General features: G+C 41.9%; 1 protein-coding gene across 12 annotated transcripts in view; it reads left to right on the top strand.

Moving 5' to 3' along the window:
• The window catches only part of CLUL1 (clusterin like 1), a 53,195-nt gene that overhangs the window by 9,672 nt on the left and 30,366 nt on the right, over nt 1-13,157 (top strand). For 3 of the 12 annotated variants that reach the window (NM_001393345.1, NM_001393344.1, XM_011525651.3), the window contains 3 exons: nt 319-440; nt 11,329-11,447; nt 12,554-12,702. In NM_001393345.1, coding sequence (NP_001380274.1) covers nt 11,342-11,447; nt 12,554-12,702 — 255 coding nt within the window. In that variant the 5' untranslated portion in view covers nt 319-440; nt 11,329-11,341. Of the gene's footprint in view, nt 1-318; nt 441-5,489; nt 5,591-6,105; nt 6,253-6,499; nt 6,623-10,038; nt 10,106-11,328; nt 11,448-12,553; nt 12,703-13,157 lie in introns of those variants that run through there. The other 9 variants (NM_001393346.1, NM_001393348.1, NM_199167.2 and 6 more) reach the window with 7 other exon arrangements.

Genomic DNA, 13,157 nt, shown 5'->3' on the forward strand with positions numbered 1-13,157 from the left:
GCCAAAAGGCTATTGGAGTCTTCTCAAATGAAAGAGATTTTATCAAAGGCTTGGAGAAGAAAAGAAAAAGAGGATTATATAATAAAACGTAAAACAACAAACATATACACACAAACAAAAATAAACGTGAGATATGATTCTCCCGGAGTGTTTAGAGCAGGAATGTTCTTGGGCATCTGCCTTCCCCCACCAGCACCCCCCACAAGGCAAGGCCAGTTCACCCTCAGTGCTCACTACTTTGCAGTGTTCATAGAATATTTGTAATAATTTTAGGCGGCTCCCTAAAATTTCTTTTCTTTTTTCTTTTCTTTTCTTTAGAGTTGCGTCCCTCTCGGTTGCCAGGCTGGAGTTCAGTGGCATGTTCATAGCTCACTGAAGCCTCAAATTCCTGGGTTCAAGTGACCCTCCTACCTCAGCCCCATGAGGACCTGGGACTACAGGTATGCACCGCTATACCCGTCTATCTTTTATTTATTTATTTATTTAGAGACAGAGTCTAGCTCTGTCACCCAGGCCAGAATGCAGTGACACGATCTCAGCTCACTGCAACTTCTGCCTCCCAGATTTAAGGGTTTCTCTTGCCTCAGCCTCCCTACTAGCTGGGATTACAGGCTTGCACCACCTACGTCCGGCTAATTTTTGTATTTTTAGTAGAGATGTGGTTTCACCATGTTGGCCAGGCAGGTCTCGAGCTCCTGACCTCAAGTGATCCACCCGGCGTGGCCTCCCAAAGTGCTGGGATTACAGGCGTGAGCCACTACGCCCAGCCTATTTTATTTTATAATTTTGTTTTAGACAAGGTCTAGCTCTGTTGCCTGGGCTGGAGTGTAGTGGTGCAATCACGATTCAGTGCGGCCCTGATCTCCTGGGTTCGAGTGAGCCTTAGCCTCCTGTTTAGCTGGTACTACAGGTGCATGCCACCACCTAGCTAATTTTTTAAAATTTTTTTGTAGAGACGGGGTCTCACCCTGGTGTCCAGGCTGGTCTCAAACTCCTGGGCTCCAGTGATGCTCCCACATTGGCGTCCCAAAGTGCTGGGATTATAGGAGTGAACTACTGTGCCCAGTCTTTTTAAAAAATTTTCAAGAGATTGGGGTCTTGCTATATTGCCCAGGCTGGTCTCCACTCCTGGTGTTAAGCGATCCTCCCACCTCAGCCTCCTTGAGTAGCTGGGATGACATTACAGGCACACACTGCCACCACTGGCTCTAAAACTTCTTCTGTGCCATTTGTGCACTTCACCCAATTGCCTCTTTGTAGTAATTAATTAGGATCTAGGGTGAAAAAAAAGTCAACAGCTATATATAGTCCTCAAAGTTTTGTACGTATCTGAGCAGTCATCAGTTGCACAGTGCAGAGGGATGAACTGCCGTCCCGCCACCTAAAAAGCATTAGTGACCATCAGGGAACCGTCAGATGCATGCCAGACTAAAGCAGAGTGAGGCTGTGCTGGGTGCTCTGTCTGTGGCTGCCCGTGCTCTCACTTCCCTGTCTTGCTCTGTGCCTTTGGGAGGTTGACCCTGAGTTGGCATCTCAGGGTCTCAGTCTGCTGGTTTCCTGGGTTCCCCTTGAAGGCTACTGCTCCCACAAGGCAACCACGGTCCCCGCTCTGGCTCTCACTGAGCTCCAGAATCATTGTTTCCTCCCCTTACCCAAGTGAGAATAATTATGTTTTATTCCAGAACCCTGACAAATGAAGAGGCCTAAAAACCCCCTAGGTATTATCCGATCTTGGTGATCAGGGAGGTGTTTGTTTTGTTTTTTAATGCAGACACATAGTTTTAAAAATTATTCACTTCATCTACTGTAAGAAAAGTCATATTAATTCACAATTTTGATTAAAACAAACAAACAAACAAACAACTTCTGTGACATTTTGGCTAACAAGTGGTTCAATATTAAAGCTTTGTCCACCAGGTGCAGTGGCTCATGCCTGTAGTCTCAGTGCTTTAGGAGGCTGAGGTGGGAGGATCACTTGAGGCCAGGAGGTCGAGGCTGCAGTGAACCATGATCTCACTACTACACTCCAGCCTGGGCAACAGAGTGAGACTCTGTCTCTAAACAAACAAACAAACAAATAAGTATAGTTCTTTCAAGCATGGCAGACAATCTGTCTCCTTTGGCCTGGGTCTCTCACTGCCTTTTAGATAAAAATCTGGCAATAACCAAAGAGTTTTCATAAGGCCTGTTGATCTATTTATAAGACATGCATATAATTTACTTGACCATTATAATACCATTATAATAATCTAAATCTATTTTCTTTATCGTCCAATAATCCACAGAGTCAGCACACAAGGATTCTTTTTTCCATATATAGGCTGAGTATTCCTTATCTTACATGCGTGACGCCAAAGTGTTTCAGGTTCTGGATGTTTTGGGATTTTGAAATATTTGCATATACACAATGAGATATCTTGGGGATAGAACCTACATCTAAACACAAAATTCATTTATGTTTCATATACACCTTATACACGTAGCCTGAAGGTAAATTTACACAATATTTTTAATAATTTTCCACATAAAACAAAGTTTGTATACATTGAACCATCAGGAAGCAAGGTGTCCCTGTCTCAGCCACCCACAAGGACACTCTGTAGTTGTCTTTCATTCCTGATTCCGAATTTATACGCTACTGACAAGCAATCATTTTCTTACACTTATTCACACAAGAGCACTTAGTAAAAAATATGACATATATATCTGGCATGCTCAGAAAAGCTATTTTGCAGCAGAAAGGAGCTGGGAGGGTCCTTTTTTTCCCTTGGGGACACGGAATAAATTGTGTATTATGTGCCTGCATTTTGACTGTGACCCCATCACATGAGGTTAAGTGTAGAATTTTCCACTTGTCTCTCTGTGCTTAAAAAGTTTAGATTGGCCAGGCATGGTGGCTCATGGCTGCAATCCCATCACTTTAGGAGGCCAAAGCAGGTGGGTCATTTGAGGTCAGGAGTTCAAAACCAGCCTGGCCAACATGGTGAAACCCTGTCTCTACTAAAAATAAAAAAGTTAGCCTGGCATGTTGGTGCATGCTTGTAATCCCAGCTACTCGGGAGGCCGAGGCAGGAGAATCTCTTGAACCTGGGAGGCAGAGGTTGCAGAGAGCAGAGATCACTCCATTGCACTCCAGCCTGGGTGACAAAGCGAGACTCTGTCTCAAAAAAAAAAAAAAAAAAAAGGTTAGATTTTGGAGCATTTTGGATTTTGGATTTTGCATTAAGTGTGTTCAAGCTGAAAAGAAAATCCGATTTGCTCAGGACAAACTTAACAAAACAAGTGAGATATTCCAATACTATATATATGCTCCTGTTTATATTTCCTTAATTAATTTGGACTTGGAACAACTTGGCCAATTATGGATTAGAGGATGAGACTTAAATGTTACTGTACAAGGGATAGAACGATTCATTCCTCTATGTTATCAAATACTTATGGTATTTTACCCATCCTGCTGTCATGCAGATCAAGAACCAAATTAAAACACATTTGCCAGGGTCATAATAATGTGGCCAGAATTTAAAGAAAAACTTGATATTTAATTATGTATGATTTTGCTTGTTTAGTCTACCGATTTCTATTTGCTTTAGCTTACTCAAAAATAAAGCGCGGCACTTCGAAGACTCAATAGTCTTCCATTCATGTGGGCCTTTATAATGCACGGGCCCAGATGCAATACATCTGGCGGTCTGCTTGGGTTGGCCACTGGATTGAAGGAGACAGAGAAGTCTGGGATGATTCCCAAATGTCTGGATCTGGTGACAGGGAGATATGGCAGGGCGAGCTTAGGGGAAAAAGCTGGGTTAGGAACTGTTGAAACTGAAATCCCTGAGGGCTGTGCCGACAGAGAGACAGCCGGTAGAAGGTTGTCTTTGCCTGTCTGTGGTTCCAGGTAACTTCATCGAAAGAGAGTTTCAGGCAGTAGAAATAAGAGCACCCAGGACAAAGCCCCAGGGAAGAGAAACATCTGACGGAGGACAGAGGAAGAAGGGTCAGGAATGAGACTGAGCAGGTGTCATGTGTCTGACACCAGAGCCTGACACATAGTACGTAGTAGACACTCAGCAAATACCGTAACAGAGATGAATCCAAGGCTGGGGGAGGTGGCTCACGCCTGTAATCCCCACACCTTGAGAGGCCTAAGTGGGAGGATCTCTTGAGTCCAGGAGTTCGAGACCAGCCTGGGAAACATGGTGAGACCTTGCCTCTAAAAAAATAAAAATTAAACATTAAAAAAAGAGATGAATGCATAACCTGGCTGCTGGAGCCAACATGGGTTGGGTGAGCCCACTCTTACCAGCAGCTAATCAAAAATTTGCCTGGAATTCTGAGGCTCCTGTCCTACGTCTTGGCTGCTCCTCCCAGATCACCTTCTGGCCGGTCCCAAGTCCACTTCCCATGCTCCTTGCTCCCTTCCTCCTGGTCTCCCTCACACTTTCCTTTCCTACTCCCCTTCCCTCTGTGGCCCTGGCTCAGCCCAGCACAGGGAGAGCCCTGTGCCACCTATTACAGCTCACCTGCACCTTTGCATCTTTCAGAAAGGAGCACCTACAAGATAACCCACCCCCCACCTTTTTTTTTTTTTTTTTTAGTAGTACAGATTGCCTCTCATAGCATAATTGGGCTTCATTATTATCCTTAAAGACCCTCTTTCTGTGGCAGATTGGGATGGATAAAATAAAGAAGATCGAGAGGTTGAAGAACCCATCCTGTTTTGCCAGTGAGAAGGGGATAGAATTAAAAGGATTAGGAGGGCTCAGGCATGGTGGCTCCAGCGTGTCATCCCAGCTACTCAGGAGGCTGAGGCGGGAGGATCACTTGAGCCCAGGAGTTGGAGACTATAGAGCACTATGATTACACCTGTGAATAGCCACTGCACTCTAGCCTGGGCAACATATCAAGACCCTGTTTCTAGGGACAAAAATATTTTTTAATAAATTTAAAAATTAAGGGAAAGGTAACCACATCCTGCTACAAATAAAAGAAGTTGGAGAGGTAAGAGGAGGACCAAGAGCTAATGGCATCATTTACACAAAAAGAGATGCTTTAAAATCAGTTGCTCATCCAATTCCACAAGGACAATAAGTAAGAAAGAGGATAGAAAGTCACCGGTGGATTTGGTCATCATTGGCTTCTTGATGACTTTAGCAACAAAAATTCTTGTTGGTAGTGAGAGTTAGACCCTGGTGGACTGGGTAGGGGGTTCCTGGAGCATGAGCAAAGGCCTGTGCCAGCCAATGGCCCCCACTACACTCTGCCCCGGCCTTTCTCATCTCAAAAAATGGCATCCCCCATCCAAAGCTCAAGTCAAGAATCCAGCAGCCACCTTTGATTCTGCACTTCCCCTCACCTCACAGTCCAGTCCCATCTCCAAAATAAGTTCCAAATCTCACCACTTCTCATTCTCCAAAGAGGCACCATTATCTCTTTCCTGGTGATTAAAACAGCTTCCTAACTGGCTTCCCTTCTACCTTGCTTTCCCATAGTCCATTCTTCTCAGGACAACAACAGTGGCCTTTTAAAACCAGTGCATTATTGTTGCCCTTTGGGAAATCCTCCACAATTATCCAGTCTTGCTTCAAAAAATGTATGTATTTCTGACTTTTTACCCTGCCCTACTTACAGGATATGCACATTTCTGATCTCCAGCCAATATCACACTTCTTCTCTCACTGCACTCTGCCACACTTGGCCAAGTTTGTTCCCACTCCTCTTGCACTTGCTCTCAGATCTCAGAAGAGGCGTGCTCCTTGTCTTTCAGGCCAGCCGGCTTCACACATGTGCCACGTGCACCCCTCGCTCAGAAGGGATCTGTACTCGGTTTGGATCTATTGTTGCCATCTTGAAACTCTTAATACTCTTTGAACACGGGGCCCGTATTTTCATTTTGCACTGGGTCCTGAAAATTGTGTAGCTGGCTCTACTTTCAGGGATTGTATCAGAAGTCTCCTCCTCAAAGAGGCCTTCCTCGGCCACTTATCCTCAAGTAGCTCCTCCCCTTCTAAGTTACTGGCTATCCCATCATTCCCACTTAATTTTCTTCATAACAGTTGTCATGCTTTTATACATTCTGGCTTCTATATTTATTTGTGTATTGTCCAGTTCCCTCCCTTTGGAACGCAGCGTGGGCACCTGCAACGCAGAGACCACTGTATCTCCGGTGCAGAATGTAATGAGTGCCTGATACATTTGCCGAATAAACTATTCCAAGGGTTGAACTTGCTGGAAGCAAGAGAAGCACTATTCTGGGTAAAATGGAAATTTTAAATGTACTTGATATTTATATACATCCTAATCAATAATTAAATTTGTGTAGTGCTGATCTAAACAGATAAATTCTGGCTTCATGATGATGGTGAAGTGGAATATAATTTTCTCATTTTGTATTCAAACTAGATCTTTTTCATGAAAGGATTTGAAGTCTAGATTCAATGCCTACTTTTGCTACTTATGTTATATGAAACTAAAACAATTATTTTATTGTATTTTTTTTGAGATGGAGTCTTGCTCTCGTTGCCCAGACTGGAGTGCACTGCTGCAATCTCAGCTCACTGCAACCTCTACCTCCCAGGTTCAAGCGATTCTCCTGCCTCAGCCTCTCGAGTGGCTGGGACTATAGGTGCGTGCCACCACACCCAGCTAATTTTTGTATTTTTAGTAAAGATGGGCTTTCACCATGTTGGCCAGGCTGGTCTTGAACTCCTGACCCAAGTGATCTGCCTGCCTCGGCCTCCCAAAGTGTTGGGATTACAGGCATGAGCCACTGTGCCTGGCAATAATTTTAGTTTAGTCTGAATTTTTTTTTTTTTTGAGATGGAGTCTCGCTCTGTTGCCCAGGCTGGAGTGCAGTGACGCTATCTCAGCTCACAGAAACCTCCGCCTCCTAGGTTTAAGCAATCCTCCTGTCTCAGCCTCCCGAGTAGCCAAGATTACAGGCACCTGCCACCACCCCCAGCTAATTTTTGTATTTTTAGTAGAGATGGGGTTTCACCATGTTGACCAGGCTGGTCTCAAACTCCTGACCCAAGTGATGTGTCTGCCTCAGCCTCCCAAAATGCTGGGATTACAGGCCTGAGCCACTGTGCCTGGCCTAGTCTGAATTTTTTAAAAAGGTTATTGGTCTACCTTCCAATGACATTGCACTCTGTGTGGCTCAATAAAACATTTTCATTTATAATAACTAATTTGACCTGCTCAGCAATCTCTAAGCAAGATAGAGTAGCTGTAATTCTTCATTTTACAGGTCATGTCAAATCATTTCGTACATTCCAGCTATGTACGAGAGCTTGGTGAGAATATGTGAATAATAATCACAGAACTTCAGAGCTGGGAGTAACAGCTGGAAATATTTCTTCCAATAATTGCATTTTTTATGAGAGGACGATGAGGTCCAAGTGGACAGGACCATGAGACAATCGTGTGGCAAGGAAGTTGATGCAATTTGACCTCTTAAGTCAGTGATCTTTATGTCCATCGGTCCTTTCCAGCAAGTGAGTTAGCCAACCTTTGCCTGCAAAGGAGGAAATTTTTAATTGAGGATTTACACTCTGCTTCTAAAATTTTGCTTATTATTGTGAATAATTTTCTTTAAGTTTATTAAATGAATGGCTGAATAAATGGACATAAGGAAAGAAGGAAGGGAGGAAGGAAGGGAGGGAGGGAAGGAAGGGAGGGAAGGAAGGAAGGAAAGAAGGAAGGAAGGAAGGAAAAAGAAGAGAGGAAGGAAAGGAAGGATAAGTCTGATGACAGCTGCTATTATATTCTACGTGGATAATTTATTTAGATCCTTATACTTTATCTTTTGTTTTACTTCTCTTATGCATATTCTCCTCAACTTTTTTTCAGTGGGCCAGAGGAGGAGGACTGCCTCTTGTGACTGTGGAAGGACTTCTACCAGGCTAACACCCCTGGCCTCTCACCCTCCCATTTCTCACCCTGCAAAGCAGAGTGCTATTTGATTCATGTTCTTAGTCTGTGGATCTCAGTTGAGGAGAACTCGTTAGAGATTTGCCCTCTTTCTGTCTTTTTGAGACCTTACTGGTGCAGGACAGCAAATCCTAGCTGGTGTCTACAGGACACATGCACTCTTAGGTTACATAACTGCAGGGACCACTGTCATTGTATCCTGGAGCTGGTTCTATATAAGACACAGCCTGAGCAGTATATAGGCTTCCTAGTCTGCTCCTGGCCAAATGTCCCAGTTGGAAGCCCAGAGGTTGTCTGGCTATGCCAGTGGCAGGATGGGCAAGTCTAACTCAAGGGTGACATATTAGCAAGACCTTTATGGCCATGCATCTAAGATGCTCTGTCCAAGCCTGAACTTAGCAACAATAAACCTGACATTTTGAAATCCATCTGATTCCTCTATTTTCCAGTTGATGCCACATGCATCCTCTTGCCATCTTTCTTAATTAAGATGACTTTGCTTCTAAATCTCCTTAATTATCAAGCAGCTATCTACAATATTTTGTAATCCCCTTAAATCTTGAGCATAATGATGTCATAATTATGAAAGTGACCGGATTCACATGAAGTATTGCTTAATCTTAAGAACAAAATGGCAGCTGTGAAAACAGATGAAGTAATTAGAGGAAGAGCCTTTTTGGAAGCTTCGAGATATTTTCAAAGTAATTAGTACTAGTTAGCAATAAAGTTCTGTTCTGAGAAATTGCTCTTAAAGGAGGAACATGGATTAAAGAAAAAAATCTGCTACTAGGAAGTAAGCCATCTTTCTATGTGTGTGATTGGTTTTGCTTCCTGAAAACTGGTTCCGTTTTCAACAAAATTTGGGTCTGTTGAAAAAGAACACGCAGATGCCAGCCTTGATGTCAAACGGGCCCAAACTTGGACAGTGGTAAACTAATGAGCAATGGTGCACAGAGTCAGGGTAAAAGCTGGACAATTTCCTATGACCAACTTTTCCAGGACTCTGCTCTGCTCTTCCTGAGAAAAATACCCAAAGTGCTGCCTCTTCCATTGGCCAACCATGCATCTTTCAGGATAGGACACATCTGTTTATAGGTGTGGATTGTAGTTGCTCATAAGTGACATTAGGCTGTTTAAAATAATAATAGTTCGAGTTTTGCTATGAGCTGATCTGTTTTCCAAGAGAGCTAAGAGTTTTCCAGCTAAAAGAGGGAATTAGTGGGTAATCAAGGCAGCTGACATGGGGTGTGGCTGGGCCTTGAATGTGTGTCACTCTCTGTGCCCAGGCAGAGCAAAGATAAACTCCAGACTGCATGTTGCTCAGAGACCAGGACCAACGTCATAGGGCGCCTAAAAGGCAGGTGGCCCAGTTCAGAATTGTCAAGGTCTGACCTGCTTGGACAAGTGCTGAGTACATAGTAAGGATGGATTGGCTAGTCTCTCAAAACTTGCAAACAGGGCGCAGGTGATCTTGAGATTTCAGTTGCCAGAGAGACCCATCGTGTAGATTCCAGAGTTGGCTATCATGACTAACAGCTGTCTAAGTTGTTTTTAAATGAATCATTAAGGGCTACATTTTCAGTTCAGCTAATCAAGTAGCAAATTACGGTGGGTCTAAAATACTTATCTATTGCATTATGTATATGCTAGACTTTATCACTTTAGTTGGTTATATCGCTTCATATACTAACAGTCAAAAAATGCCAAACGAGAAAACAAACAAACAAAGATGCCACATGACTGTGTAAATACACTTTTCGAACTGTTTTATCTAAGAGTTTACTCACTTTCACATTGTGGCTTATAGTATTTTCAATCTAAGAGACTAATTTTGCTTACATAGGAAACTACATATTTTAAATTGAAAATTAAAAAAATATTTTTAAGGTTTTAATGAGTCCTATCAAAACACATTTGTATATAGGAAGGTAGCCCAAGGTCACTGTTGCCAATTGTGTACACAGCCTGCCCTCTAGTGTTTTCTTCTGAACAGTACCAAATTTTAGATCATAGTTGTAAATCTCAAAATGTTGGGTTAATAGGATTAAACACTGTGTCATCAAACTGATAGGACACAGCTAAATCCCTGACACGGATGAAAATTAAAGCAGAGAAAAACGAAGGTCCTTCCAGAAGCTGGTGGCAACTTCACTGGGGAGATATTGCAAAGTTAGTGGTAAATACACTATATTAATAAGTTTTGTTTTGTAAATAGAGTAATGATAGAAGAAGAGTTAGTTGAAATGATGTATGTAAAATGTGATAACTGCATAATTACTAGTACAGTTGCTAGTTTACGACTGTATTAAAAAGACATTCCAAATGTTGATCAAATAATGGAGGTTTCTGTGGTTGTTTTCTTTTTAAAATAGTAAATATACGTAAAGCAGATAAATATCCCCTTTGTGGGAGTTAAAATAATCTAACTTATTTTATAGTTTTAACTTTATTAAAGCATACGACTATTCTAACTTATTTAACTTTTCTTAGTAAAGTTTTAACCTCTGTATTTAGAATATTTATAACTAATGTGTATCGAATTAAACTCAAAGGGAAATTCATTAACTGAGAAGAAAAAATTTTAACTGTGCACTATTCACATAGCATAATGGGTTTTATAAGGAGTATGAGAAAAATGTGTGTGGTTGGTTTTGCTTTCTTTAAAAATAATAGCGAACCACGTAGGTAAAAACTCACTTGAGAACATAGACTTTTGGAGGGAAATGCCAGGTGTGGTGGCTCACGCCTGTAATCCCAGCACTTTGGGAGGCCGAGGGGGGCGGATCACCTGAGGTCAGTAGTTCGAGACCAGCCTGACCCACATGGAGAAACTCCATCTCTACTAAAAATACAAAATTAACCGGGCTTGGTGGCGCATGCCTATAATCCCAGCTACTTGGGAAGGCTGAGGCAGGAGAATCACTTGAACCTGGGAGGTGGAGGTTGCGGTGGGCCGAGATCACGCCATTGCACTCCAGCCTGGGCAACAAGAGCAAAACTCCGTCTCAAAAAAAAAAAAAAAAAAAAGAATTTTGGAGGGAAAAAAATCCCTCTAACAGATTCGAATTAATTCTGTGTTTCGAGATGTTTACAAAATGAAGCTTGGACTCTGAGAGGATGTGATCTATCCTCTCCATTGCATTGAGTTTCAAGTACTTCACATGGCGGGCTTTTTTAACTGTCGTGAAGAGTTTAAACCAAATAGGGACTAGAATTTGTTTGTTTTTTTAACTTACATTTCAAGCTTCCTTATGTCTCAGGCACATTAGCATAAGTTGTCTAAAGTCATAAGGAAAAATTGACAGAAAAATGCTTTGGAGCCCCAGGTGTTTTCAATTGATGCCAACAGAAACTAACCAAATGGAAGACATTTGATGCGGGTTTATTTTTCCTTTGCAGTAACAGCGGGAACATGAAGCCGCCACTCTTGGTGTTTATTGTGTGTCTGCTGTGGTTGAAAGACAGTCACTGCGCACCCACTTGGAAGGACAAAACTGCTATCAGTGAAAACCTGAAGAGTACGTTTGGTTTCTTATCTGTGCTGTGTCCTGTTTGCATGTTGGTTGTCCTGCTGGCGTTTATAGTGAGTCGCAGTTGAGAGATAACCATATTCGCTGTTTTCACGGTGAAACGTTCTCAAGGCGCTTAAACCAGGTCATCCTGACGCCAAACATCTGGGTAAAAATAGAAAATTCCAATCACGTCTCTGCAGGCGTTCACCTTTCCAGATGTTTGTATCATGTAGATACAACTTGCCAGTTTTTTCACTGCATTTTTTTGTATCATCCAGATGGTTGGTGTCATCTCAGCACAGCTCTAATGAACAGTGAAATACTTTTCTAGCATTTGAAAAATTTAAACCATTAGAGTAATCTGTGCAATTGTTCTTAAACTAGTGAAAGAATGGGTTATAATTACGTTGAATCTGGTTGTTCTGTGGCCATTAACTTGCAACTTTGCTTGGTGATATATACTTTGGGTACTTAATATATAGAAGAACAAATTAGCTAAAATGCAGCTGATTTGGGGTCTGTAATAATCAGAGTCAAGAATGAGCTCCTCAGTAGGCCACGTTGGCTATTTTGAACAGGGAATGACAATGAATTTTAAACTTACTAAGGGCTTATTAAAGGTGTATAAGACACGTCCATTGAGTTATTAAGGAAGCTCGTATTACATGGGATACTTTCTAGGTCTCGTGCCTCCTTATTAGGTAACTGAAGCTGAAAGAAAGAGAAATTGCTGACTGTGTTTGAGGTCCCCAGCTGGGCACTTAATATAAATTATGAAGAAAATGCAAAATTTTCTCTAATATAAACACACTTGAGTCTTAAATGAAAGAAAAAAAATGGATAAATGAAAACAGGGCCTGAGCAAGATGACAAGAATGAGGTTCAGTGAACTCTATTTGTTTAGGCGCTCACAAGTGAGGAGTAGAAGGTATGGTCCGTGTGGCAGCTGGGTCCATGTGGCAGCTGACAGCTAATTCATTATGATCTGCTTTCAGAATATGAGCCTATAAGAGAACAATTAAGCCTCTCTTTTGGAGACATGAAAGGTTGGTGAACTTGGTGTTTTGTAATCTGATCAGATCTCAAAGAAAAAATTGCCACATGTCTTTTAGGTTTTTCTGAGGTGGGGGAGATAGATGCAGATGAAGAGGTGAAGAAGGCTTTGACTGGTATTAAGCAAATGAAAATCATGATGGAAAGAAAAGAGAAGGAACACACCAATCTAATGAGCACCCTGAAGAAATGCAGAGAAGAAAAGCAGGTACAGTCATTGAAAATAATGTCTGTTCTTACACAGATCTGGACCAGAAATACTGCACTTGTTAGTGCGATTGATGAATTACTTATTTTCCTTAGTAATAAATTTCATGGGTAGCTGCTTTTATTTGAGGAAAAGTTTAAGGGAAGCTTCAGATTTCCTTGAAGAACATATTTCGTGTAGGATAGGCTTCTGCAAGACTCCAACCCGGAATCTGGGGGATTCATCTCTGTTTAAGTGCTGCTTTCTCAAAAATAGATTATTCTTGGTCTCTTCTGAGTTAGGATATTGAGTCAAAAGTATTTGAAGAGTTTTTTTTTTTACTAGATCAGTGGTCTCCAGAGTTTTTGTTTTTTGTTTTTTGTTTGTTTCTGTTTTTGAGACAGAGTCTCGCTCTGTCACCCAGGCTGGAGTTGATCCCGCTCATTGCAACCTCCACCTCCTGGGTTCAGGTGATT

Source organism: Homo sapiens, chromosome 18 (assembly GCF_000001405.40).
Source record: "Homo sapiens chromosome 18, GRCh38.p14 Primary Assembly".
Classification (NCBI taxonomy): Eukaryota; Metazoa; Chordata; class Mammalia; order Primates; family Hominidae; genus Homo; species Homo sapiens.